The sequence below is a fragment of the Homo sapiens genome, chromosome 10 (assembly GCF_000001405.40).
Source record: "Homo sapiens chromosome 10, GRCh38.p14 Primary Assembly".
In the NCBI taxonomy this organism is placed as follows: Eukaryota; Metazoa; Chordata; class Mammalia; order Primates; family Hominidae; genus Homo; species Homo sapiens.
In genome coordinates this window covers 46948577-46973808 of record NC_000010.11, presented here as the reverse complement: position 1 = coordinate 46973808, position 25232 = coordinate 46948577, and the positions used below count along the sequence as shown (strand labels likewise).

Genomic DNA, 25232 nt, shown 5'->3' with positions numbered 1-25232 from the left:
GGCCTTGGGAGCCCACCCCACACACCACTGTGACCAATATGTAGGAGATAGAGTCAAAGGAGATTATTTTGGAGCTTTAAGATTTAAAGTGTGCCCTGCTGTGTTTTGGACTTGCATGGGGCCTATTATCCCTTTCTTTTGACCAATTTTTCCTTTTTGGAATGGAAACATTTACCCAGTGCCTGTACCACCATTGTACCTTGGAGGTAAATAATCTCTTTTTTGATTTTACAGGCTTACAACTGGAAAGAACTTACTTTGAGTCTCAGATGTGACTTTGAACTTTTAAGTTGGTGCTGAAACAAGTTGACTTTTAGGGACTATTGGGAAGGAATAATTGTATTTTGCAATGTGGTAAGAACATAAGTTTTAAAGGGCCGGGGGCAAAATGCTATGATTTAGATGTTTGGCCCTTCTAAACCTCATGTTGAAACTTGATTCCCAATGTTGGAAGTGGAGCCTAATGGGAGGTGTTTGAGTCACAAGGGCACATCCCTCATTAATAGATTAATGGCAGGAGTGAGCTCTCACTCTATTCGTTCTGCAAGAGCCTGGTACCTCCCCATTTCTCTCCTGCTTCCTCTCTCACCATGTGATCTCTGCATATGCTGGTTTTACTTCACTTTCCACCATGAGTGGAAGCAGCCCATAGCCCTCACCAGATGCCCACTCTTGAACCTTCCGGTCTGCAGAACTATGAGCTAACTAAATCCCTTTCCTTCATAAATTATTCCTCTATAGCAACACAAAGAAACTAAGACAAAGATCAAGGTGGCAGCAGGCTTGGTTTTTCCTGAGGCCTCTCTCCTTGGCCTGCCAATGGCTGCCTTCTTGCTGTGTCTTCACATGGACCTTTCTCTGTGCCTTTGGATCCCTGATGTCTCTTGTGTGTCCCAATTTCTTCTTTATATAAGGACATCTGATGGATTGGATTGGGCACACTCTAAGAACCTCATTTTATATTAATTACTACTTTAAAGGCCCTATCTCCAAATCAGGTCACATTCTGAGGTACAAAGGGTTGGAACTTCAACATACAAATTTTGGGAGAATTTAATTTGGCTCATAACACACAGTATATACTCTTTTGACTGGCTTATTTCACTGAGTAAAATTATTTTAAGATTCATTCATGTTGTTCAATGCATTGTTAGTCATTTTTTATTGCCTAGTTGCATTCTATTATGTAGACATACCACAATTTGTTTATTCACTCTTCCGTTGATGGGCATTTGCACTGTTTCCAGTTTTTGGCTATTATAAGTAAATCTGATATGAACATTAGTATATAAGTCTTTATGCAGACATATGCTTTAATTTCTCTTAGGTAAAACATATGAATAGAACTGCTAAATCATATGGTAGGTACATGTTTAACTTTATTAGAAACAAATTCCATTTCATTGCAGTGAGTGTAAAATGGTATCTCATTATGGTTTTAATTTGCATTTTCCTAATGATTTACAATGGTGAATATCATTTCATGCATTTATTTGCCATCCTTATATCTTCCCTGAGAAGTGTCTGCTCAAATTTTTTGCTCATTTAGTGTTGGGTTATTTGTCCTCTTCTTGATTTGTAGTAATTATAGATTATAAATATAAGTTTTTGTGAGATAAATGTTTTGCCTGTATTTTTCTTCTAGCCTGTTGCTTTCCTTTTTGGTTTTATAATAATATGCTTTGAAGAGCAGGGTTTTTTTTTTAATTTGATGAAGTCCAATTTATTTTTTTTCTTTTACAATTTGAGGGTTTTGTGTCCTATTTAGGAAAAATTTGCCAAAGCCAAGGGCAGTAACGTTTTCTCCTAGGGTTTCTTTCAGAAGTTTTATGTTTTTAACTCTAATGATAGGTCTATAATCTATTTTGAGTTAATTTTTATATAAGTTGTGAGGTAAGAATCAAAGTTCATTTTTGGTACATGAATATGCAACTGTCCAGATGATTTGTTGAAAGATTATCCCTTCCTTATTGTCTTGCATTAAATTTAGATATTATCATCTTCTCTGTTCTTCTCACATGATCATACAGAACACTCAATGAGAAATATATAAGCATGCTCTGAAAAGTGAGAAGCTAACAGAAACCTAAGTCACTACCTTGATTAGTTCTGAATAGGTCCCTGATAGATAAGTAACAGAAAAAATATTAGGCCAGGAGTTGGGGAACCTGTGTGACTCGCTCTTTTATTAGCCTTCAAACTGCTTTGTAAGTTGTGAAATGGTAAAGAAATGGAAGATATTGTCTTTATACCTAAAAATTCCTATACTACATAATAAAGGCCATTCTTGCTTGGCATGATGGTACAGGGCCATAAATATGACCATGCAAGTTGAAACCATGCGAAAGGACCTTTGTTGTTGTTGTTGTTGTTGAGACGGAGTCTTGCTCTGTCGCCCGGGGCTGGAGTGCAGTGGCGCTATCTCAGCTCGGCTCACTGCAAGCTCTGCCTCCTGAGTTCACGCCATTCTCCTGCCTCAGCCTCCTGAGTAGCTGGGACTACAGGGGCCTCCACCACGCCCAGCTAATTTTTTTGTATTTTTAGTAGAGACAGGGTTTCACCGTGTTAGCCAGGATGGTCTTGATCTCCTGACCTCCTGATCTGCCCGCCTCGGCCTCCCAAAGTGCTGGGATTACAGGCATGAGCCACCGCGCCCAGTCACAAAAGGATCTTAGTAATCAATAGGAAATATTATTCTTGTTTCATGGCTCTTAACATTTTTTGTGAAATCATTAAAAACTCACTTATTGCTGGCTATACATATATAGAGAAGCAAAAAATAGCAAGACTAATATTTAGAACATTGTAATTTAAAACATTAGAAATATTGGGAATTAAAGCATTTAATTTGTTAAAAAAAAAAAAAAAAACTTACCCAGAGTAGTTTGAACAGTGTTTGCCTCTTCTTTTTGTTGTATAACTTACAATACAGAGTGAGCATTTTTTCTATGTCTAGGCTAACTTCCAAGTCTGGATCAGTTTCCACCTTTTATCCTTGGCACTTATATTGCTGTGAAATAGCTCCAAAGTTTCTTTAATGTCAAGTTTTCTACCATCATTGCTTCCCCTAGGTTGCCTTTATCCTTTTCCTCACAAGCACTTTGGTCATTCATGTCGGTAAGTTCCCCTTCCACAGGTGCCTTAGGCTGCAGCTCTAGGGTCTTTTGAGCAGTAGCAGTGTCAGCATGTCCCTGGTCAGCTAGTTCTTCTATAACTCCATTCAAATTTCATTTCCAACATTATCACTTTTTATCCCTTTATTGCAGTTTCATCTCTCTCAGCCAAATCTCTCTCTTGATTATACATTTTGGTAAAAGGTCATAGGGGTTTACCATTGAGAGACAAGGAGACAATACAATCACATGCTTTGCTGTGTGTGAACTGAATAAGAGGCTCACAGTTACCTATCACTGACATATTTTGAAAGAAGTAACATTTATTAGTCACTGGTCATGATGCACATCTGTTATTTACATAGGGACTTGTGGACTAAAGTGCCAGCAAAGATGCTTACTACTTTAGGCAATTACTTGCAGTGAATATATTGTGGTAACTAAAATGTGAATTGTACTGTGGGACTGGTGTTATTTAGCTAAACACAGTAACTGATATTTGAGCATATTGGGGCCATGCAAAGTGAAGGTTCCCTATATTTGCAGTGTTCAAAGGTGTGTGAATTCATCTATTTAGTGTTCTCAGCATTTGAAGACGACAAATAAATTACTTCTTTAGCTTTCTTAATATGAGTCTTCAGGAACCTTTTCTATAAAGTCAAGAAATGTGTGATTAAAAAAACCACAGAGCTTTCTATGATGGCCACTTAAGTTGGCTGAGTTTCAGATTAGATTACACTGCGTTATGAGGTAGATATACCAATGGGCCTTTAAAAAGAATATGGTTGAATTATAGTTTCTTTTCTTTTATGAAAAGCCAAAAGTTTTACATAACTTCCCTTACTTTAATGATTTAACATTATTTTTATTATCTTTGAATTTCTTAGTTGTAACTCTTTTGATATCCAGAATAAAAACTTCAAGTCAGATCAAATATTATGTGTACCTTCTATTGTAAAATGAGCTTCTTACAATCCCGAGAGGCTAATTTTTAAGGCATGTTTGCTTTTAGTCTCCTTGAGGGCAAACTGCACATGCAGAAATAGAAATTATAAAATTTGGACCTTTGACATTTTGGAGAAGCAACAAATTATTAGTATTATTTATTAAAATGTCTAATCATGGTTCATTATTCTGATTTCAGAAGTATTCATCAATGCACTTCTCCACACTCTCCCCACAGAAGATAACAGAATAGCTTATTTTAACCATGTTGGATATGTACTTGTTTTTTATCATCATAAAGTTAGTTTCAATTCTAATAAACCAACTAAACATGAAGGTATTTATCTAGTGACCGCAGTCACTGTGTTCCACTCTGGTTTTTATAATAACTATCTCAAGTCTAGTAGGAGAAACAAAAGTGAAAATAATTAAAATATGGTTTGGTAGAAGGGGAGAGTGGTTACAAGATGCTGTGAGACTACTGGAAAAACACCAAACCTAGCTTTGAGGAAAATAAGAAAAGCCTATTGGAGCTGGTTAAGAAAGATAGCAGGAACTGCCTCAGCAAAGAAGGGATGAGTAGTTCTTTCAAGAACTGCAGGTTAAGAGGCATAAAAACCAACAAATAAGAAAAGAATTATGAATTCTAGATACCAAAAGAAGTTTTGTGGGAGAGCTAAGGCTAGAGAGGCAAACAGGTGAAATTCTTAGGCCATGTTAAACAACTGTACCATGATAGTAACAAAGAGCCAAGAAAGAGCTTTAAAAGAAGAGCTACATGTTCTGACTTGCATTTTAAGAAAATCTCAGTAGCTTTTGTGAATGATCAGAAAGGGAGGCAGTAAAGAAGAACGTAACCAGCTGAGAGGTAAAATGGGCTCAGTCTAAGTCAGCAGCAGTGGGAACTGAGAGATGGGGGAGGACTCCAGAGGTATTATGGAGGTAGAATCAACTGACTCCCTGTTTTCTGGTTTGAACTTGGTGATTACATAAGATATAGAATATAAGAAGAGGGTCAAGTTGGAGGAAGTAAAATAGTAAATTTAGTTTTGAAAAACTTTGACTTTGAAAGGAATGTGAGTTATGGAATGAGATATCCTGCCTAAGATTAAAATTGCATTGCTGTGTTTTGATTCTGCTCTTTGAATGGCCTGAGATGGATAACTCCTAAGAGTAACTGAGTGAGGAGGACAGAAGGTGCCACTACCCTCCCATCCAACACAGGGAAGCAATGTTAAGGCTCTGTGGAGACAATCAAAAGGCAGCCTCCTGTTGGAGAGCAGATTAACAGCTTTATTGTCCAGGATGAAGGATGCAAATAGCTCTTTTTTCGCGTGTCTAAACAAAATAGCCAGAGAAGGTGGTTAAGGCTTCGGGTACCAAAAGTGGTGTATGACTCAGACTATTGGATTTTATGTTTTGGAAGGCTCATGCTCTGAGAAGCAGCAATATATGAGAACAAGGCTGAAGGACTGCTGTAAAGGACCCTGTAACAGTGGCTGAAGGATGTACCAGAAAACAGAGGACCTGACTCTCTCATATGTAGCACATATCTTAGAATATGCCCAGATCACCCAGTGCTATGTACCAGAACCCTTTATCATGGTCACAGGCCAAAATGTCTCATACAAAAAGCCATACAGTGCCCTTTGCACTTTTTCTAAATGTAAACAGGAAAATAATCAAAACTATTTTTAGCTTACATGGAAGAATATCTCGGTATCTATTTTTTTCTCTGTTGCTTGGTTGATTCCCAGAGTTGAACTCACCAGGCAGATTCTTAAGTTCTAAAGCCTTTAAAAGGTTAAAAATGAATAAATAAATAAATAATAAATTGTGTATTTACTATAACCAATAAAAAAGAAAAAAATATGCCTTTGTTTAGTGCTCATGATCCTTAAATCCCTATATGACATGACCTGCTATTTAATGTGTTGTATGATAAGTGAAGCTAGATCCTCATTTAAAAAGTGCTATATAAAATATCTCAAGTTTCACATGCCAATCAATGAGTTGGTTAATAAGAAAATGTTAAACTTTCTGGAGATACTTTCCACTTGAACTTCATTTTGTTCTTCTTTCATAAAAAAGGAAATACAAGCTATTCATTTCTCAGAACCTACCCACAGATCTATCATTTTATAAATAAAAATAACAACATAACAACAACAAAAACATATAAACAAAAAATATATACAAACAGTCTCACAATTTACCCTTCCCCTTTGAAGAAATTATAGTTAGGACCCTAAGAATCCTTCCTTTCAAAAAATTTCTTTACCAAGTGTGAATTCAACAAACACTTATTACGCATTTAGTAGGTATCTGGCCTTGTTTCAGACACTGGAATACAGGGATGAATTGGATAATGGCCTCATCCTTAAGGAGTGAACAGAGTAGTTAGAGGACATGTAATCAAATACCATGTGACCAATGTACGGAGACAGTAGTATAAATGACAGCACTAGATTGCACCTAAAAGTCAAGAAGAAAAGCTCCTCAAAGGGAAATAGCCCTTGAACTGGGCCTTAGTGAGTCACTGGAAGTTAGCATATGAAAAACAGTGTGTACTTAGAAGGAAAGAGGAGAGAAGGTGAAGGGGTGGAAATAATGGAGGCATACATGTCCCTTTGGGAAACTGTGACTAATACGGTAATAAGAGCACAAAGCACATGATCTAGTCCAACAACAGACTAAAACTATAAAATATCTTGTTTCATATATAAATGAAATTAGGAGGTAGCTAGTCATACTTTATTAGAATATTTGTGGAGAAAGCCTGAAAATCTATACATTTTCAAAGCTCTTGGGTAACTCTTGTGTAGCCAACCTAGCAACCGCTGCCATGGGGAACAAGGAGCCTGTGAAGGTTTTAAGTAGTACAATAAAATGATCAAGTCTTTCTGAAAATCAATTTTAAAATTAATCTGGAAAAAATTCTGTAGGAAGAATGAGAAAAAATTCATTTATGAATGAATAATGATGGCAGATGAGTCTCATTAGATGTTAAAAGATAATATGAAGCTATGCTAATTAACAGAACAATACCAATAAAGGAATAAGAAAATCAGTAGAAAAAGTCCAAGAATAAATTAAAATATATGTAAGGCTCTAGTATATGATAAAAGTGGCATTTTACCTCACTCAAGAGAAATTCCAGGAGAGTCTTGGGACAACTGGATAGTTATATAATGCTGAGTCCCTATCAAACATCTTATACCAAATTAAATTCTAGCTGCATCAAAGATTTAAATGCTTAAAAATCATAAAGGTACTAGAAAAAAACATGAAGTAATTATTACAATCCTAGAGTAAAAGAAGCATTCCTAAAGAGCACAGAAAGCCCCAAACCCAGAAGCCCCAAAAGCAAAGATTGCCATATTTGACCACTAAAAATCAGCTATTTCTTCATGGTAAATAGGCATGTGTGTGCACATGCATGTGCACCTGTGTGTAACACAAACAACAGCAGAAAAAATACTACGTGTAAGACACACAAAGGCATAATTTTTTCCTTAAAGAGTTAGTAATCGGCCAGGCGCGGTGGCTCACGCCTGTAATCCCAGCACTTTGGGAGGCCAAGGTGGGCTGATCACCTTAGGTCAGGAGTTTGAGAGCAGCCCTGGCCAACATGGTGAAACCCTGTCTCTACTAAAAATACAAAAATTAGCCAGGTATGGTGGCAGGCACCTGTAATCCCAGCTACTCGGGAGGCTGAGGCAGGAGAATCGCTTGAACCTGGGAGGCGGAGGTTGCAGTGAGCCGAGATCGCACCACTGCACTCCAGCCTGGGGGACAAGAGCAAGACTCATCTCAAAAAAAAAAAGAGTAACCAATAAGAAAAAAAAAAAAAGGAAAATGGGGCAAAGAATTGAAACTAGCAGTTCACTGAAAATATAAAAGGCTTAAAAACATATGGAAAGATATTCTTTTGTTCTCAAATAAATACCAATTAAGTAATCAATAAGAAATAATTTGTCATTTAAGAGATGAGAAAAGATCCAAAAAATTGATAGCCCAAAATATTAATATTGTCTTTCTAGGAATTTGTTCAAAAAATATTTAAATATATGCATACAGTATATGAAGAGAGATGACCGCTGTTCATAATAGCAAAGACTAGAACAACCTAAATGTCCAAATGTTCCATGGTAGTTAATTATATGGATAAGTACCCTAATTTCAGAAATTAAATATTAAATAAATTAAGGTACTTATCCATATAATTACCATGCAACACTTAAAAAAATGAGATACTGCTATACATGCTGATAATATACTTGGAAATTGTATCTAGGAGGAAAACAAATTTAAGGATGTAAAGTGCATTCCAACAAATTTTTTTAAAAGTTTGCATGACAAAATGACAAAATGAATAGTGTAAAGGGGCCCTAGAAAGTCTTGAGAGAAAGAGAGAGACTTTCTATTTTATATCCTTTTATGCTATTTGGCTTTTTTTTTAACCACGTACATCTATTACTTTAAAATATATATAACATTTAAAAGTAAAAACAATGTACTAAAACCAAATAAAGAAAGAAAAGAAAAGAAACCCTCTGGCAATGATATAAAAAAAGAAATCACATATAGACTTTCGTTAAGAAAATATTTACCATAAATTCCTGCATGATATCATACGCTGCTGTTTTTTCCTCAAGGATTTTCAAACAATCCTTGATGGCTGTCTGCTCATGAAAATTGAATATTAATGGCCGAATCTGAGCCAACTGATCTAGTTCTCCTTCAGAAACAATTTTGCGCGTATCTAAGGAAGAGAAAAATTCACATATGTAAGTTACTGGTATATATGTGAAGGGAGATTTTATTTTTGTTTCTGTTTCTCTTAAAGACACAGCCATTTAAGGGTAAACAGAAGTTTATTTTTCCACGGGTGAAGAGTCTACTACTTTGAAAGAGGCTTCCTTTGGAAAAATCATGGCTATTTACACCTTGAAATTATACAAAATCCACTGCCCTTGGAGAAAACTGTTCAGTGCCATAAACATAACGAATGCTGTGGATTGAGAAGTGTTCAGTTTTATAATGTGAATTGGGTATATGGATTGAAAATTATGCCAAGGCAAGAACGTACAAGGCTTGGATTAGGAAAGAGAACTTTTGCCCTCCCTGGGACCAAGTGTTTGGAAGTTCCTAGAGTCTGAGATGTGGTGATGTGGAGAGTTCACGTCCTGTTTCATTACTCTGAAACAGATTGAACATGAACGCACACACGTGCACACACACCAAGGATGGAGAGGATCTATGCAATATAATTAATAAGATGGAATAATGGATACATATGGACACTTGCAACCAATAATTGGGGAGAACATTCTATTAATATTTAATAGCACACATACAATCTTTTTATTTTTAATTATGATCTTTTAGGTAATGTTGACAGTCAAGGTTCCAAACATCTGAAATTTTATACATTATGTCCACTGGCCAAAATGCAATAAATCTAGAAGTCAACAGTAAAAGAGTATTTTAAAAGCTTCAAAATTTTGAGGTAAGATGTTCAAGTAAAACAAGTTCTCATAATCTCTTTGCAAAGCCAAATAATGTGAACAATAATCAAGTTAATACCAGCAAAAAGATATATACAAAACAATATAGCAAAAGAAAGAGGTGGAAATTTCTAAGAATCTGCACATTCCTGGGAAGCACATCTTATCTTGGTACTCCACTATATCCAGAGGCTCTTTGTAGGGTTGGAAGTGAGGGCTCTTGGTTGGGATAGACAGGCACAGAAATCCTAAAATTTCTCACAAATATCCCTAACCTTAGTATGAGAGGAGGTCTAAGCAGGCTGGAAGGGGAGATAAAATTCCCACAAGCGTAGAAGCCATTTTGATCATCTTTGATGCCCAACAGAAAAACCCTTAGATCTTCCCATTGTGTTCCACCTTTGCTAGTACAAAAGCTGGGAGAATGAAGAGAGAAAAAAATGAAAATGTAGAATGACTGTAACAAACACTGGTGTTGACTCCCCAACACCGATTCTACCCCTCTGGTTAGTTAAAGCCATTTGTGATCATTCCATAGTAAGATCCTTCCAGTGAATAATTCAGAAATAGGTAGGAGATTTGCGCCAACCATAGAAATAGGCTGGTCTTGTAAAAAAGAGAAGCAAACCTCTCTTCTACCCTCATCCCTCTGTACACACATAAACAAAGAAGTATAAGGACCTAATTATCATAGTCTGCCCTCTTATGGCCATAAAAGGAAAGAGTATAGCAAATGTGAAAAACATAAAGAAACTATGTTCTTGATGACATTAGCAACTGATCATATTGAACCTGGAATCCTTCCTATCTCTGGGCTTCCATTATGGTAGAAAATATATATATATCTTTATCATTAACATCATTCTGAATTTGGTCTCTTTTTCTTGTAGCCTGGTCCAAGAATTCCAATCAAAGTATAAAGGTGAGGTTTCAGCTGTAGATCCTGGGAATCATTTCAGCCAGTTTACAGAAAGGGATTTGATCTAGCTATTTGGTGTTGTATCACCATTGTGTGGGCTTGAAGAACAGATGCTTCTCTCATTATGATCCAAGAACAACACTGCATAATGGTCTGCCAAGAAAAGTTCTGTCTTTGCCACAATTAGGAAACTGAGGAAGTTGGAGACCATTTTTTCTAGCCACTGGCTCCTAGATGACACCACTTCAGCAACAATGGAGAAATAAGAAAGTCACTACCACAACTGTTGGCTCTAGTAACACATCACCTTACCTATAATGAGGACCAGGAACGCCAAGCCTGCTATGATGCATAGCAATAAAATGGATGCCTCTCTACACATTTACATCTTGGCTAAGTGCATATGATCGGCAAAGCCCAAATAAGCTACCAGGAAGTCTTGAAAATGTAATTTTTCATTTTTCTGCCTGGGCCATACAGGAAGGTACACTAGGAGAAGGGTGTGACTGATATTGAGTAAGGGCATCTGTGATATCTGCTTAACATTTCAGCCACACCATGCCCTTTGAGTATCCTGCTCCTTGGCCCCTATCCCTTCAGCACACTTATCATTGTCCTCGGGCAAAATAAACAATGCAGCCCTCCAAAATACAGTTTACAAGGGAAGATGATGAGATCCAAATAAAAATGGAAATCAGGAAGAATTCATTCCTGCTCAATCAACAAAACCGAAGAGACAGAAAAAGCTATACGTGTTCATAACAAAATGGAATAAAATGTGAAACACAGAAAAAATAATAATATAATATAGCATGCAGAATAATTTTTAAAATCTATTCTAAAATGGAAGATAAGCTTAAAAAGGAAAATGAACTGTGTATGCAACATCTGTCGAAAGAAAAAGAAAAATTATTTTAAATAACAGTTCACAAGGAGATAAGAAAACAATAGAATGAGGTTTAAAAAAATTAGTTTATAAACCTAAGAAAATAAAGGTAAAACTCAAAAGTACATAATTACAGCAATAATTTATAATTAAATCGAATTCTGCAAGAAACAAAGCAGACAGTTGAAAATCAACTTATTGCCATAGGACAAAGGCATGTATACATACAGTAATGAAGACAAGAAAGGTTTAAAAACAAACAGTGAAAAGATAATGCATGTGAGGACCTCATCAGAGGCTCAGGAGAAAAGCTGCAGACAGGGTGAGGAACTTGAGAAATCCTCCTTTGTGGGGCAAGCTTGGGAAGGGGAAAAACAGCATCCACAGGAATGGCACAAAGCATGCCCAAAATGCTTTTCCCTATTTCCCTAATGGACCAAAAGCATAAGAACCTGAGAAAACGCATGAAACTCTGTCATCCTCAAGGCACAAATGAAGACTCATTAACATTGGGGGTAGGGAAGAGAGAAGAGCATCCTGGACCCAGGCCATAAGATATTCCCTACACCTGCAGAATGGACAAAATAACAAAGGAGGTACCGCCTGAGGCCTTCCTAAGACTGAGACTGAACAAGGACAGCAGAGAATGTCACCCCAACCAGGTTGGCAAGCAAGGTAATCATAAGTAAGAGCTCTCTACTGCTGGGAATTAGAGAAGATCATGGAGAAGACCTTCTCTGAGGTGCATGTACAATGGGAAGAGCTAAAGCAGAGGGTGGAGTAAACACTGAGGCAAATCCTCTACATGTAAGGTAACACTGGAGGAATTTGAAGCTGGTGGTGCACTAAGGGTAACCATAGCAACATCAAACCCAAGCCCTGCTGCATTACTGAGTAAATTGATGCAACTCCTCACACTGAAGGCCTACCAACAAAAGAGTCATGTCCATCCCTATTTACCTCAGCGTCTAGAACTTAGCTAAGAAATACTACAATAGCTCCCCCTTAGCTGCAGGGGATATGTTCCAAGACCCCCAGTGGATGCATGAAACTCTGGATAGTATTGAACCTGATCGTCATCAACTGAAACATATTTTTGTTCATGTCTTCCACCCATAAATTTAATGCCTTTTCCATCTTAAGTAAGCATGTATCATGCACTGTGGCCATAACTTTGGCACTCTGATGTGCAACAGCAAAACTTGGATAGAAGATTCATTCTTACCATAGGTCTACGCAACTTTAGCATATGATTTTTTTCTTTCCTTATTAAGTCAAGAACTTTCACCTTTTCATGTAAAGAAAGCACTTTACAGCTTCCCTTTGGCATATTCAAATTGCCAGCATCACTACTCTTTGGGGCCATTACTAAGTAAAATAAGGGTTACTTGAACACAAGCACTGTGAGGCCAAAACAGTAGATCTGATAACCAAGATGACTACTAGTTGACTAAGAGACAGGTAGCACATAGGGCATGAATATGCTGGACAAAGGAATGATTCACTCCCAGGCAGGACAGAGCAGGACAGTGTGAGGTTTCATCACACTACTCAGAACAGTGTGCAATTTAAAACTTATTGTTTATATCTGGAATTGTCCACTTAACATTTTTAGTCTGTGGTTGACTGCAGGTAACTGAAACTATGAAGAGTGAAACCATGGATAAGACATTTTTACTTCTATCTCTAGACTATACAATATTCAGTTTTCAACCAAAAAATTATAGAGTACACACAGAAGTAAGAAAAAGAGAAAAAAGTTGCCAAGAGACAAAGCAATCAACAGAACCAGACAGAGATATAACATATGTTAAAACTGTCAAGTGATGAATTTAAAATAGTGATAATCAATGTGTGAAAAGGCAGTGGGAAAAGTAGACAATATACATGAACAAATGGAGAATTTCAATGGAGAGATGGAAGCCATAAAAATAATAAAGTGGAAATGCTTAAAGTAAAAAAAATATTGTAAGAAATTAAGCATGTTATTGATAAGCTCATCAGTAGATTTCACAGAGGCAAGAAAAGAATTCATGAATTACAAAATAGATCAAGAGGAATTATCTGAATTAGAACACAGAGAAAAAAGGTAGATGAGGGGCAGAGGCAGAGAAGAAGAGACCATCCAAGAACTACAAACCAATATCAAACAGACTAATATATTATACCTGTAAATGGAATCCCAAAATAGAAGAGAAGGAGAATTGGGCAGAAGAAATATTTGAAAAGATAATAACTGAGAATTTTTTCCAAAATGAATGAAAGACACCAAGCCTCAGATCCAAAAGCTCATCAAAAACAATATAAGCCAGAAGACAATTGAGTGACAACTTTAATGTAATCAAAGAAAAAATCAAAATAAAGAAATTAAGATTTCAGTAAATACATGACTAATTATAAAAGCTAGTATTCTTGTAACAATAATGTGTAACTTCACTTTTTCTTTTCTACATGATTTAAGAGATGACTTTTTCCTAAATTTATTAGCCTAAAAATAAAAAAATTATCATAACTTTAGATTGTAAATCAACATTTTGTTTTCTACATGAGAAACTAAAGCATTAAAAACATTATTTTATGTTTTGGAACACATAATATATAAAAATGTAATTTTGTGACAACAAATGAAAGAGATGGGGTCAAAACTGTCAAAGGTCCACAGTTTTTTTTTTTTTGTATTTTACTGAATTAGGCTGGCATAAATTCAAATTAGAGTGATAAGTTTAGGATGTTAAATATAATGCCCATGGTAACCACAAAGAAAATAGCTAAAAACAATACATAAAGGAAATTTTTTAAGAATTTAAATATTTCATTACAAAAGGCAACTAAATACAAAAGGAGACAGTAAGGCAAAAAAAAATGAGGAACAAAAAAGCTACAAGAAATATTTTTTTAAAATAGCAAAATGACAGAAGTCTCTCCTTATCAGTAATTACTTTAGATATAAATGAATTAAACTCACCAATTGAAAGAAAGATTGGCAGAATGGATTAAAAAATAAAAACATGATCCAACTATACACTGTCTACAAAGGACTCACTTTAGATCCAAAGACACGAATAGGTTAAAAGTAAAAGAAATATTCCATGCAAACAGGAACCAAAACAGAGCATGAATAGCTATATTAATATCAGATAAAATCGATTTTAATTTTAAAAAGTTAAAAATGACAAAGAAGGACATTATATATCATAAAAGGTTCAATACAGCAAGAACATATAACAGTTATAAACATTTACACGCCTAGTAACAATCAAAATACACAAAGCAAAAATTGACAGAAATGAAGAGAGAAACAGTTTTACAATAATAATTGAAGATTTCAATATCCCATTTTCATTAGTGGATAGAACAATTAGACAGAAGTAAGAAAAGGGAGGACTTGAACAATATAATAAACAAAGTATATCTAACAGATACATACAGAATCCTCTGTGCAACAACAGACCACATATTTAAGAACACATGGAATATTTTGCATGTGTTAGGCTATAAACTAAGTATCAGTCAATTTTAAAACACTGGTATCACAAAGAGTATCTTCTCAAAATACAAGAGATAAAGTTAGAAATCAAATATAAGAAAAACTGATAAACTTACAGATTTGTGAAAATTGAACGACATAATTTTAAAACACCAATGGATCAAAGAAGGAATTACAAGGGAAATTAGAAACATTTAGAAATGAGTGAAAACATAACACAACATATCAAAACTATGGGACACAGCAAAAGCAGGGTTAAGGGGGAAATTTATAGCTATAAATGCTTACATGAAAGAAACAAGGCCTCGAATAAACAAACTAGCTTTACAACGTAAGGAATTACAAAAAGAAGAACAAACTAAACCTAAAGCTAACAAAAGGAAGAAAATAGTAAAGATTAGAGCAGAGATCAAAATATAAAATATAAAAAAGAGAAAAATCAATGAAACCAAAAGCAAGTTCTTCAAAAATATCAACAAAATGATGTGATGAACCTTTAATTAGATAAACTAAGATAAAAAGAGAAAAGACTCAAACTACTAAAATCAGAAATAAAAATGAGGACATTACTACCAATTCTAAAGAAATAAAAAAGATTATAAGGGAGTACTATGAGCAATTGTATGCAGAAAAACTGGATAACCTCAATGAAATAGACAAATTTATAGAAACACAAAACCTACCAAAACCAAACCACAAAGAAACAGAAAATCTGAACAGACCTATGACTAGTAAGGTGATTGAATAAGTTATCAAAACTATCCCAAAAAAGTAAGCCCTGGATCCAATGCCTTCACTGTTAAATTCTATCAAACATTTAAAGGAGAACTAACACCAATACTTGTCAAACTGTTTAAAAAAATTAAAGAGTAGGGAACACTCCCTAACTTAATCTATGAGGCCAGCATTATCCCAATATCAAAGCCAGACAATTATCCTACATGAAAAGAAAACTAAAGGCCAATATCCATCTTAAACATTGATGTAAAAATCCTCAACAAAATAGTAGCAAAGCAAATATTTAGCGGCATATTAAAAAGATCATACACCATGACTATGTGGGATTTATTACTGGAATGCAAAGATGACTTAACATACAAAAATCAAGGTAATACAATACGCTAACAGAAAAAAAGGCATGCTTATCTCAGTTGATGCAGAGAGAGTATTTGACAAAATTCAACATCCTTTCAAGAATATATTCTTTTTGAGACAGAGTTTCACTGTTGCGCAGGCTGAAGTACAGTGGTGTGATCCCAGATCACTGCAACCTCTGCCTCCTGGGTTCAAGTGACTCTCCTGCTCTGCCTCAGCCTCAGCCTCCCAAGTAGCTGGGATTACAGGCAACTGCTACCACGTCTGGCTAATTTTTGTACTTTTTCTTTAGTAGAGACATGTTGCCTAGGGTGGTCGTGAACTCCCCAACCTCAGGTGATCTGCCTGCCTTGGCCTCCCAAAGTGCTGAGATTACTGGCATGAGCCACCATGCCTGGCCTATTTGTTTGTAGAAAAAAAATTCAACAAACTAGGAACATAAGAAAAATACATAAACATAATAAAAGTTATGTATGGAAAACCCACAGCAAATATACTCAATGTTGAAAGAGTAAAAGCTTTTCCCCTAAGATCAGAAACAAGGCACGGATGCCACTTTTGCCACTTCTATTTGACATAATATTGGAAGTCCTAGTCAGAGAAATTAGGAAAAAAAAGAAATAAAAGCCATCCAAACTGGGGAAAGCAAAAAGTAAACATCTCTGTTTGCCAATGATATGATATTATATGTAGAAAATCCTAAAGATTACTGGATTTTACACACACATATTCACACACACACAGAGTTAAAAAAAATAAATTCAGTAAAGTAGCAGGATACAAAGTCACACACAAAAATCAGTTGCATTTATATACACTCAGATGAACAATCTGAAAATGAAATTAAGAAAACAATTTCATTTACAATAATATATAAAAAGAAATAAAATACTTTGAAATTAACTTAGCCAAGAAGGGGAAGGGAAAGATTTGTACAAAGAGACCTATAAAACATTGCTGAAAAAAGAATTAAACAAATATATCTCATGTTCATGGTTTGGAAGATTTAATATCATTAAGATATCAGTACTACCCAAAACGATCTACAGATTCAATGTAATCCTTATCAAAATCCCAATGACTCCTTCTGCAGAAATAGAAAAACTCATCCTAAAATTCATATGGAATTTCAAAGGACCCCAAATAGCTAAAACAATCCTGAAAAATATGGGGAAAAAAGACTCACACTTCTTGATTTCAAAACTTACTACAATACTACAGTAATCAAAACAGTCTGGTACAGGCATAGACAGACATATAGGCCAAAGGAATAGAAGAAAGAGTCCAGAAATAAAACCCAAATTATTTTCAAAAAAGTTGTCAAGGCCATTTAATGGGAAAAACACAGTCTTTACAACAAATGGTGCTGGGAAGCTGGATATCCACATGCAAAATAATAAAATTGGATCTTTACCGAACGCCATATACAAAAATTAACTTGAAATGGATCCATTACCTAAATGTAAAAGCTAAAACTATAAAACTCTTACAAGAAAGCATGGCAATAACTTCAAGACATTGGATCTGGCAATGATTCCAAAGGTACAAACAAATTTTAAAAAATATAATTAATAATACTGAAATATACACTTAAAATGGATAAGATAGTAAATGTTATGTTATGTAAGATTTACAACAATAAAAATAATTTGGAGAAAATACCTCTAAGTAACCCACAGATCAAAGGGGAAGTCATAAGAGAAATAGGGAGACATTTTGTTAAAAATGTGTAGATTGTATTTTTTAGAAAAGTTTTACATGAAAAAAAAATGAGCACTTAGAATTCCCATATATCCCCTGCCAAAGTTTCACTTATTATTAATGTTTTACATTTGGATGGTACATTCATTAGTATTGAACCAATATTGATACATTTTTGTTAACTAAAGTCCATCCTGTATTTTGGTTTTCTTAGATTTCCTTAATATCTTTTTACTGTTTCAGGAGCCCATCTAGGATAAAACATTACATTTAGTTGTCAAGTCTCCTTGGGCAACTTTTGGCTATGATGGCTTCTCAGATTTTCCTTGTTTTTGATGACCTTGATAGGTTTGAAGAGTACTGGCCAGGTGTATTCTTCAATGCCTTACTATTGAAATTTGTCTAATTTTTTCTCATGATTAAGACTGGGGTTATGGGTTTTCAGGAATAAGATCACAGAGGTAGAGTGCCATATTTATCCATAGTATCAAGGGTATATTATATCAACATGATGTATGACAGTTGATGGTGACCTTGATCACATGGCTGCAGTAGTGTTTATTAGGTTTCTCTACTATGCAGTTATTCTTTGTACTCCTCTGGCCATACTGTACTCTTTGAAAGAAAGTCAATATGTGCAACCCACACTTAAGAGGTGGGAAATTATGATCCACTTCCTTTAAAATTGAATATTAACGTAATTTATCAGGAATTCTTCTGCATGGGAGATTTGTCTCTTCTTCCCCATTTATTAACATATTTAATCATTTATTTATATCAGTATGAACTCATGGATGATGATTTTATACTTCATACTATAATCCACTGCTACATTAGATTGTTGTTCAAATTGTTCCACCTTTTGCTACTTAGAATGAGAAAACATTATAAATTGAATGAAAATAAAAACACCTCAAAATGTGTGGGATGCAACTAAAGCAGTACTTACAGGAAGATTTGTTGTATTAAATACTTGTACTACTGTTGTCCCTCTGTATTTGCAAGGAATTGGTTCCAGGACCTCCCACAGATACCAAAATCCTCAGATGCTCAAGTCCTTTACACAAAATAGCATAGTATTTGCATATAATCTAAGCACACCCTCTCTCTCAAATACTTTAAATCATATCTAGATTACTTATAATACCTAATACAACATAAATGCCATGTAAATAGTTGTTATATTTTTAAAATTTGTAATTTTTTGTTGTTGTATTGTTATCTTTGTTCCTAAAATATCTTTGATCCATAGTTGGTTGAATTTGTAGATGCAGAATCTACAGATAAGGAGGGCCAGTTGTATTTATGAAAAAGAAATATATCAATAATCTAAGTTTCCACCTTAATAAATTAAGAAAAGATAAAATAAAATCCAAAGCAAGAAGGAAAAAGGAAATAATAAAGAGCAGAAATCAATGAAATTGAAATCAATGAGAAAGTAAGGGAAACTAAAAGCTAGTTCTTGGAAAATATCAATAGAATTGATACAGTCTCTAGCCAAACTGATCAAGAAACACAGAACAAAGACACATTTTATGAAATTGAAAAAAAAGAGAGGTGATCAGTTAAGATAAGACATCAAAAAGTTAATGAGGGAATATTACAAACAACTCTAGTCCCATAAGTTAGACAATTTACATGAATGGGACAAATTCACTGAAAAATACAAACTGCCAAAGCTCATTAAAAAAAAGAGAGACACCTAAATAGTCCTATATCAATTAAATAAATTGAATATTGTTATGGGCTGAATTGTGGCCCATATGTGGCCGTATTTGGAGATAGGGTTTATAAAGAGGTGATTAAGTTAAAATGAAGTCATTAGAATAGCCCTTAACGTAATATAACTGATATCCTTATAAGAAGAGATTAAGACACAGATATACACAGTGGGAAGACCATGTGAAGACACAGAGGAAAGACGGCCATCTGCAAGTCAAGGAGAGAGGCCTCAGAAGAAATCAACTTTGCTGACATCTTGATGTTTGACTGCTAGCCCACAGAACTGTAAGATCCATTCTTGGATATTTTGTTATAAAAGCACCCCCCCCCAAAAAAAAAAAAAAACTAAAAACTAACACAAATATGTATTTAGAAACCTCACAAATTCTGGGTCCAGTTGGCCTCACTGGTGAATTTTAGCAAACATTTAAGGAAGCAATACTACCAATTTTATACAAACTTTTCCAGAATATTGAAGAGGAGAAAACACTTCCCAAATAATTTTATAAGGGAAGCATTGCTCTGATACTAAAACCGGAAAAAGATATCACAAAAAAAGAAAATTACAGATGAATATCTGTCATGAACATAAACACAAAAAAAGTCTTCAGGAAAATACTAGCAAATCAAATCGTAAAACATAAAAACAATATTACACCATCACAAAGTTGGGCTTATCCCAGGAATGCAAAGCAGGTGAGATATTTGGAAATCAACCAAAGTAACTCACGGTATATCAACAGGCAAAAAAAAGAAAAACTATATGATGATCTGAATAGACGCAGAAAAAGCATTTAACAAAAGTAAGAGTCCATTCATAATAACTCCGGGAAACTAGGATAATAGGAAGGCTCCCTTAATCTGATAAATGGCATTCACAAAAATACTACAGCGAACATTATACTTTATGATGAAAAACAGAATGCTTTCTCCCTAAAATGGAGAATCTGGAAAGGATGTCCACTCCCTTTCCTCTTATTCAACATTGAACCAAAAGTCCTAGCGAATGCAATAAGTTAGTAAGTCAAAAAAAAAGAAAGAAAGAAAGAAAGAAAGAAAGAAAGAAAGAAAGAAAGAAAGAAAGAAAGAAAGAAAAGAAATGAAAGGCATATACATTGGAAAAGTAGAAAAATAAAACTGTGTTTATTCACCAACATGAGTATCTACTTAAAAAAATTCCAAAAAATATATTTAAAAGGCCCTAGAATTAATGAGCATTTAGGAAGGTTGAAGGACACATTGGTAATATACAAAAATCAATCATATTTCTATCTACTATCAATGAACAATAGAAGTTAAAATATTTTTCATAAGTCTCATTTACAATAGCACCAAAACATGTGAAATATTAGATATAAATCTAACAAAACATATATACAATCTATATGTTAAGACTGCAAAACAAACAAACACTGATGAAAGAAATCAATGCAGACCTAAACAGAGTGAGGAATGCTTCCGTCAGGAGAAACAACAACAAATCCGTTAAAGTGGAATTTGAGAACGCCACCAGGACATTTTGGGTTCCTCATATGCTACTGAATCATCAGGGAAAGGGGGATTACTACACTGCCTAGTGTGCTGGATTCCAAGTATTAAGGGGAAACTGGGCTGCTGCTTTCCAATGGAGTAACGAGGAATACGTCTGCAATGCAGGTGATCCTCTAGGGTGTGTCAAGGTGATTAAGTAAACAGAAAACTAGAACCACCCAATTTAGGCAGAACTACTAATGACTTAGATCTTGAGGAATGAATGTGTGGGTCACCCTATCAGACAAGGAACCACAACCAAATGGGATGTTTGCTGAGCTGAAAGAGAATACCAGACAGGTGTAAGACGGCAGTGATCAAAATCAGATACAACCATGTGACCAGCTGCATAAACAGGGATAAAATATTGTGAATTTTTCTTTCTTTTTTGATATGCATATTTTATACATATATATATATCATATTTTTGTTTTCTTTTAAAAATATTAAAGGGAATGTGAATCAGTTGGAAAAGAAAGAATATCACTCAAGACAAAAAAGAGACACTTTTGGAGAAGGGGAGAGAATGTTTTCAGTTGTACACAGATTAGTTTTATCACTGTAGATGCAAGCATAAGGTTGTCCTTATTTGGATATTAAGTAACATTTAAAAGGGTGTATATAGGTGCCAGGCTGATACAGGGTGAACTGTGATAGCTTTATAATATGTTGACATGGCTAGGCTGGACCACTTTTCCCAGAATTCTGTTCTCTGAATGTTTCCAGCTAAAACAGGGCACAAGCGAGGTTCTCATGTCAGATCTGGAAGGTGAACATGGGGCAGCAGCTATTCTGTGCTCAGATGCACTATGGATGATCTCCTGACTCCCCTCATTCTATATGTGGAAGGAAGAACTTAAAATCACAACAGTGCCAATCCTACCTGAATGAATATAACTGGCATGTCATTCTATCTAAATTTCAAACAAGTTTACACAGGAATGAACAAAATAATTTAAAATCACCGATGCAGCAAAAACTTGCCCAAATAGCTACAAAAATGTATTTTTTAAAAAATTAGAGGGAGGATTTTCCTTTCCAGATATATTTAGAATAAGTAGAATCAAAACAGAATAATATAATATGTCCACAGGAACAAACAAGTCAGTTAGTGAAAAAAAATTTAGAGAATACAAAAGGATCAAACATTTTTGGAAACTTAATATGTGATAAAAGTATATATAAATTCATTTGGGAAATGTGGTTTACTTAGTGAATAGTGCTGGTATAACTGTCCAGTCATATGAAAGAAAATATAGTTTTCTATACCCCTATAATATTTAGCAATAAACTGCAGATAGATTCGTGATCTAAGCAAAATAAGTGAATAAAAATTCTGAAGAAAATTTAGGAGAATATTTGCATGTTTTTCCTGTAAAGAAGACCTTTTTAAACATTTTAGAAATTAAGAATGTTCATGAAAGTCTCCCTTCTTAAGGTATAGAATTGAGGGTTACAATTTATAGCACATTTGTCAGACAGACAACATGTTAAGATTTCCAACATGTGAAGAGTTCCTACAAATTAATAAGAAAAACAATGAACAAAGTTTATAAATATGCAAATCCAAGAAGAAGTTAATAAACATATATTAAGATACTTGATCCTAGCTGGGCACAGTGGCTCACGCCTGTAATCCCAGCACTTTGGGAGACCAAGACGGGTGGATCACAATGTCAGGAGTTCGAGACCAGCCTGACCAACATGGGGAAACCTGGACTCTATTAAAAATACAAAAATTAGCCGGGCATGGTGGCTAAGCTTTTGGAAAGGAATCTGGTATTGCCCATTAAAATATAAAACGAACATAAACTTTGACTTAACTATCTTACTTTAGGGAATCTAACCAAAATCAAAGTACCAGTACTTAGGAAATACATGTAAATATATATACTGCAGAAAAAGTCAACTGGAGAATGGGTGAATATATTATGGTATTTCCATACAATGAAATATTAGACAACTATTAATCCTATGTCAGAATATGTCTTAACCTATATAATAATATAGTTTAAATTTTAAAAACTATGGTTGCAGGGTAATTGTAGAGTTGCAGAGCACACATCAATTTTTATTTAAACTTTAAACAGAAAATCTGTTTTTATATCTTTGTGTATTCTTAGATAAACTATTATATTGGTTGCCTCTGAACCAGGATTCAGGATGATGGGAGGAAATTATTAACTTTTTCTCTATATCATTCTATATTGATTTTCACTAAAATATTAGCATACATTAACTTTATAATTTAATTTTTTAAAATTTTGGCTTTTAAAATATTTTATTAAATGTTAAATAGGTACAAAATAATAATTAAGTAAAATATCTTTAAGAACAATACATACCCAATTTAAAACAGAACATTAGCCCCTGATGCTCCTGTGTCCCCTTCCCAGACCTCATTCCTTGTCCTCCTCCCTCAGGGAATAATCACTATTCTGAATTGTACTATCATTCCTTTTGTTTGTTTTGTTTACCCTTTATGCTGTTTTGCATATTTCACAAATTTATATAGATTACATTATTTTGTTTTAAATCTTGACTTTTTTGCTAAGACTGCATCTGGGTTTATTCATCTTCACATTAAACAAAATACAATATCTAATTCATACATGCTGGTGTTGACAGATATCTGAGTTGTTTACAGTTGAAGTCTATTAAAAACAAGCCTAGTATGGACATTCTTGCATATGTCTTCTGGTAGAAAAAGGAAAGAGTTTCTCTAAGCTAAATAACCAGGAAGGAAATTGCTAGGACATATGGCATGTGCACACTAAAAAAATACCAAATTATTTTCCAAAATGGTTTCCATCAAGCCACATACTCACCAATATCAACTATTATCACATTTTTAAAAATGGAAACAATCTAGTCAGTGTAAATTATTATTTCACTATGATTTAATTTTCACTTCCCTGATTCGAAATTAGGTTGGACCACTTTTTCATATTTTCTCTTCTGTGAAATGTTTGTTAATGTGTTTTGCCCATTTTTCTATTTGGTTATCTTTTACTTACTAATATGCAGTTTCTTATATTTTCTAGGCATTAATCCTTTGTGAGCATAGACCTCAGTAACAGACCCTAGGAGGAGCCTAACCATAGTCCTAAACTGAAACTGAAAAGGAGGGTACTAAGAAAGAAAAAAGCAGTGTCTATCTACTTTTCCCTAGGAACTGGCCTTACTCTAACAGCTAAGAAATGGTATTTCCTGTTTGCAAAGTAATGTGTTCTTATTTTTATTTTAAAAATATATTTATATTCAAAATTCCACTTCTGCCTAAATATAGAAAGCTAGTATGAGCATCACTCCTACCCTAACAATATACATAAGTTGAAAAAAAAACACTAAATCAAAATTTTATTGAACCCATTAGAGAGCTGAGGTTGCAGGGCAACCAAGTAGTCTGCAATCTAAGGAAAGACAGACTCTCCTAAGGAGTGACAGGACATGAACACTGGCTCCCTGTGGCAGTTCAAGGGAGAAAGAGATACCAGGCACTATACAAATGGGAAAGAAGTATTCAGACATAAAATGTAATGCACTGCTGATAGCTGGATGTGGGCCAGTGTGACAGTACAGAACAGCGTAAAGCCACAGACACAAAAAGAACTTGCACACATTCACAGACTCAAGTTCACAGACCTCCAACAGGTGCTCATAAGAAAGACTGAGAGCAGAGCAGGAAACGGGAAGAACCATTCCCTCAGAAGGGTAGGCTTGGAGGAGGGGAGCCACTGTCATGGTCGAAAATGCGTAAAGCCCCACTTAGACCTATTTCTCCCAGAACAAAAGCCTTACACTGCAGGAGGAGGAGCAGCAATCCCTGCTTTGTATAAGTGTATACCCACTGCAGTTGGAAACAGAGCAAACAAAATCCATCTATTCCTGGAGAAGGTGCAGAAAACAGTCCTAAGCCCAGGATTTAATGCCATTATTATTACAAAACTCCTACCACTACACTAAGTGAAGGGGAGGAAACCTTCTCCACTGTAGACTTGCCAAAGGTGTCAGGCAGAGTCTGGATGCCATGAGAAGGGGTAGTATCACTAACCAAGCCTGTCACTGAGGACCAGGGACAGAGGACCTGCCCAAGGCTGAGAATGGAATAGGACAACAAAGAATGACTTGGCCCTCCCTCCCCAGGCACGCAAGCACCAGTCTACTGCTGGAAGATAGGCAGGAGAAGGAAAGAAAGCCCTTCTAAAGCACAGGCACACAGGGGAGGCCTAAAGCTGAGGACGAAACAGGAAGAGACCAAAAATAAAAACTCCTTAGCACCCCAGCTGACACCCTGCGCACAAGCTAAATCCTAAGGAATTCT

General features: G+C 35.0%; 1 protein-coding gene across 90 annotated transcripts in view; it reads right to left on the bottom strand.

The window, feature by feature from the left end:
• The window catches only part of PTPN20 (protein tyrosine phosphatase non-receptor type 20), a 92226-nt gene that overhangs the window by 29845 nt on the left and 37149 nt on the right, over positions 1 to 25232 (bottom strand). For 34 of the 90 annotated variants that reach the window (XR_007061954.1, NM_001042357.5, NM_015605.9 and 31 more), the window contains 2 exons: positions 8672 to 8823; positions 5762 to 5852 (listed from right to left, as the gene is read on the bottom strand). The exons of 28 other annotated variants lie outside the window; for them this stretch is intronic. Coding sequence is in view for 50 of the 62 variants with exons in the window: in NM_001042357.5 (NP_001035816.1) it covers positions 5762 to 5852; positions 8672 to 8823 (243 nt within the window). In the remaining 12 variants the exon portion in view is untranslated. 28 more of the 90 variants (NM_001352527.2, NM_001352543.2, NM_001352534.2 and 25 more) reach the window with 3 other exon arrangements.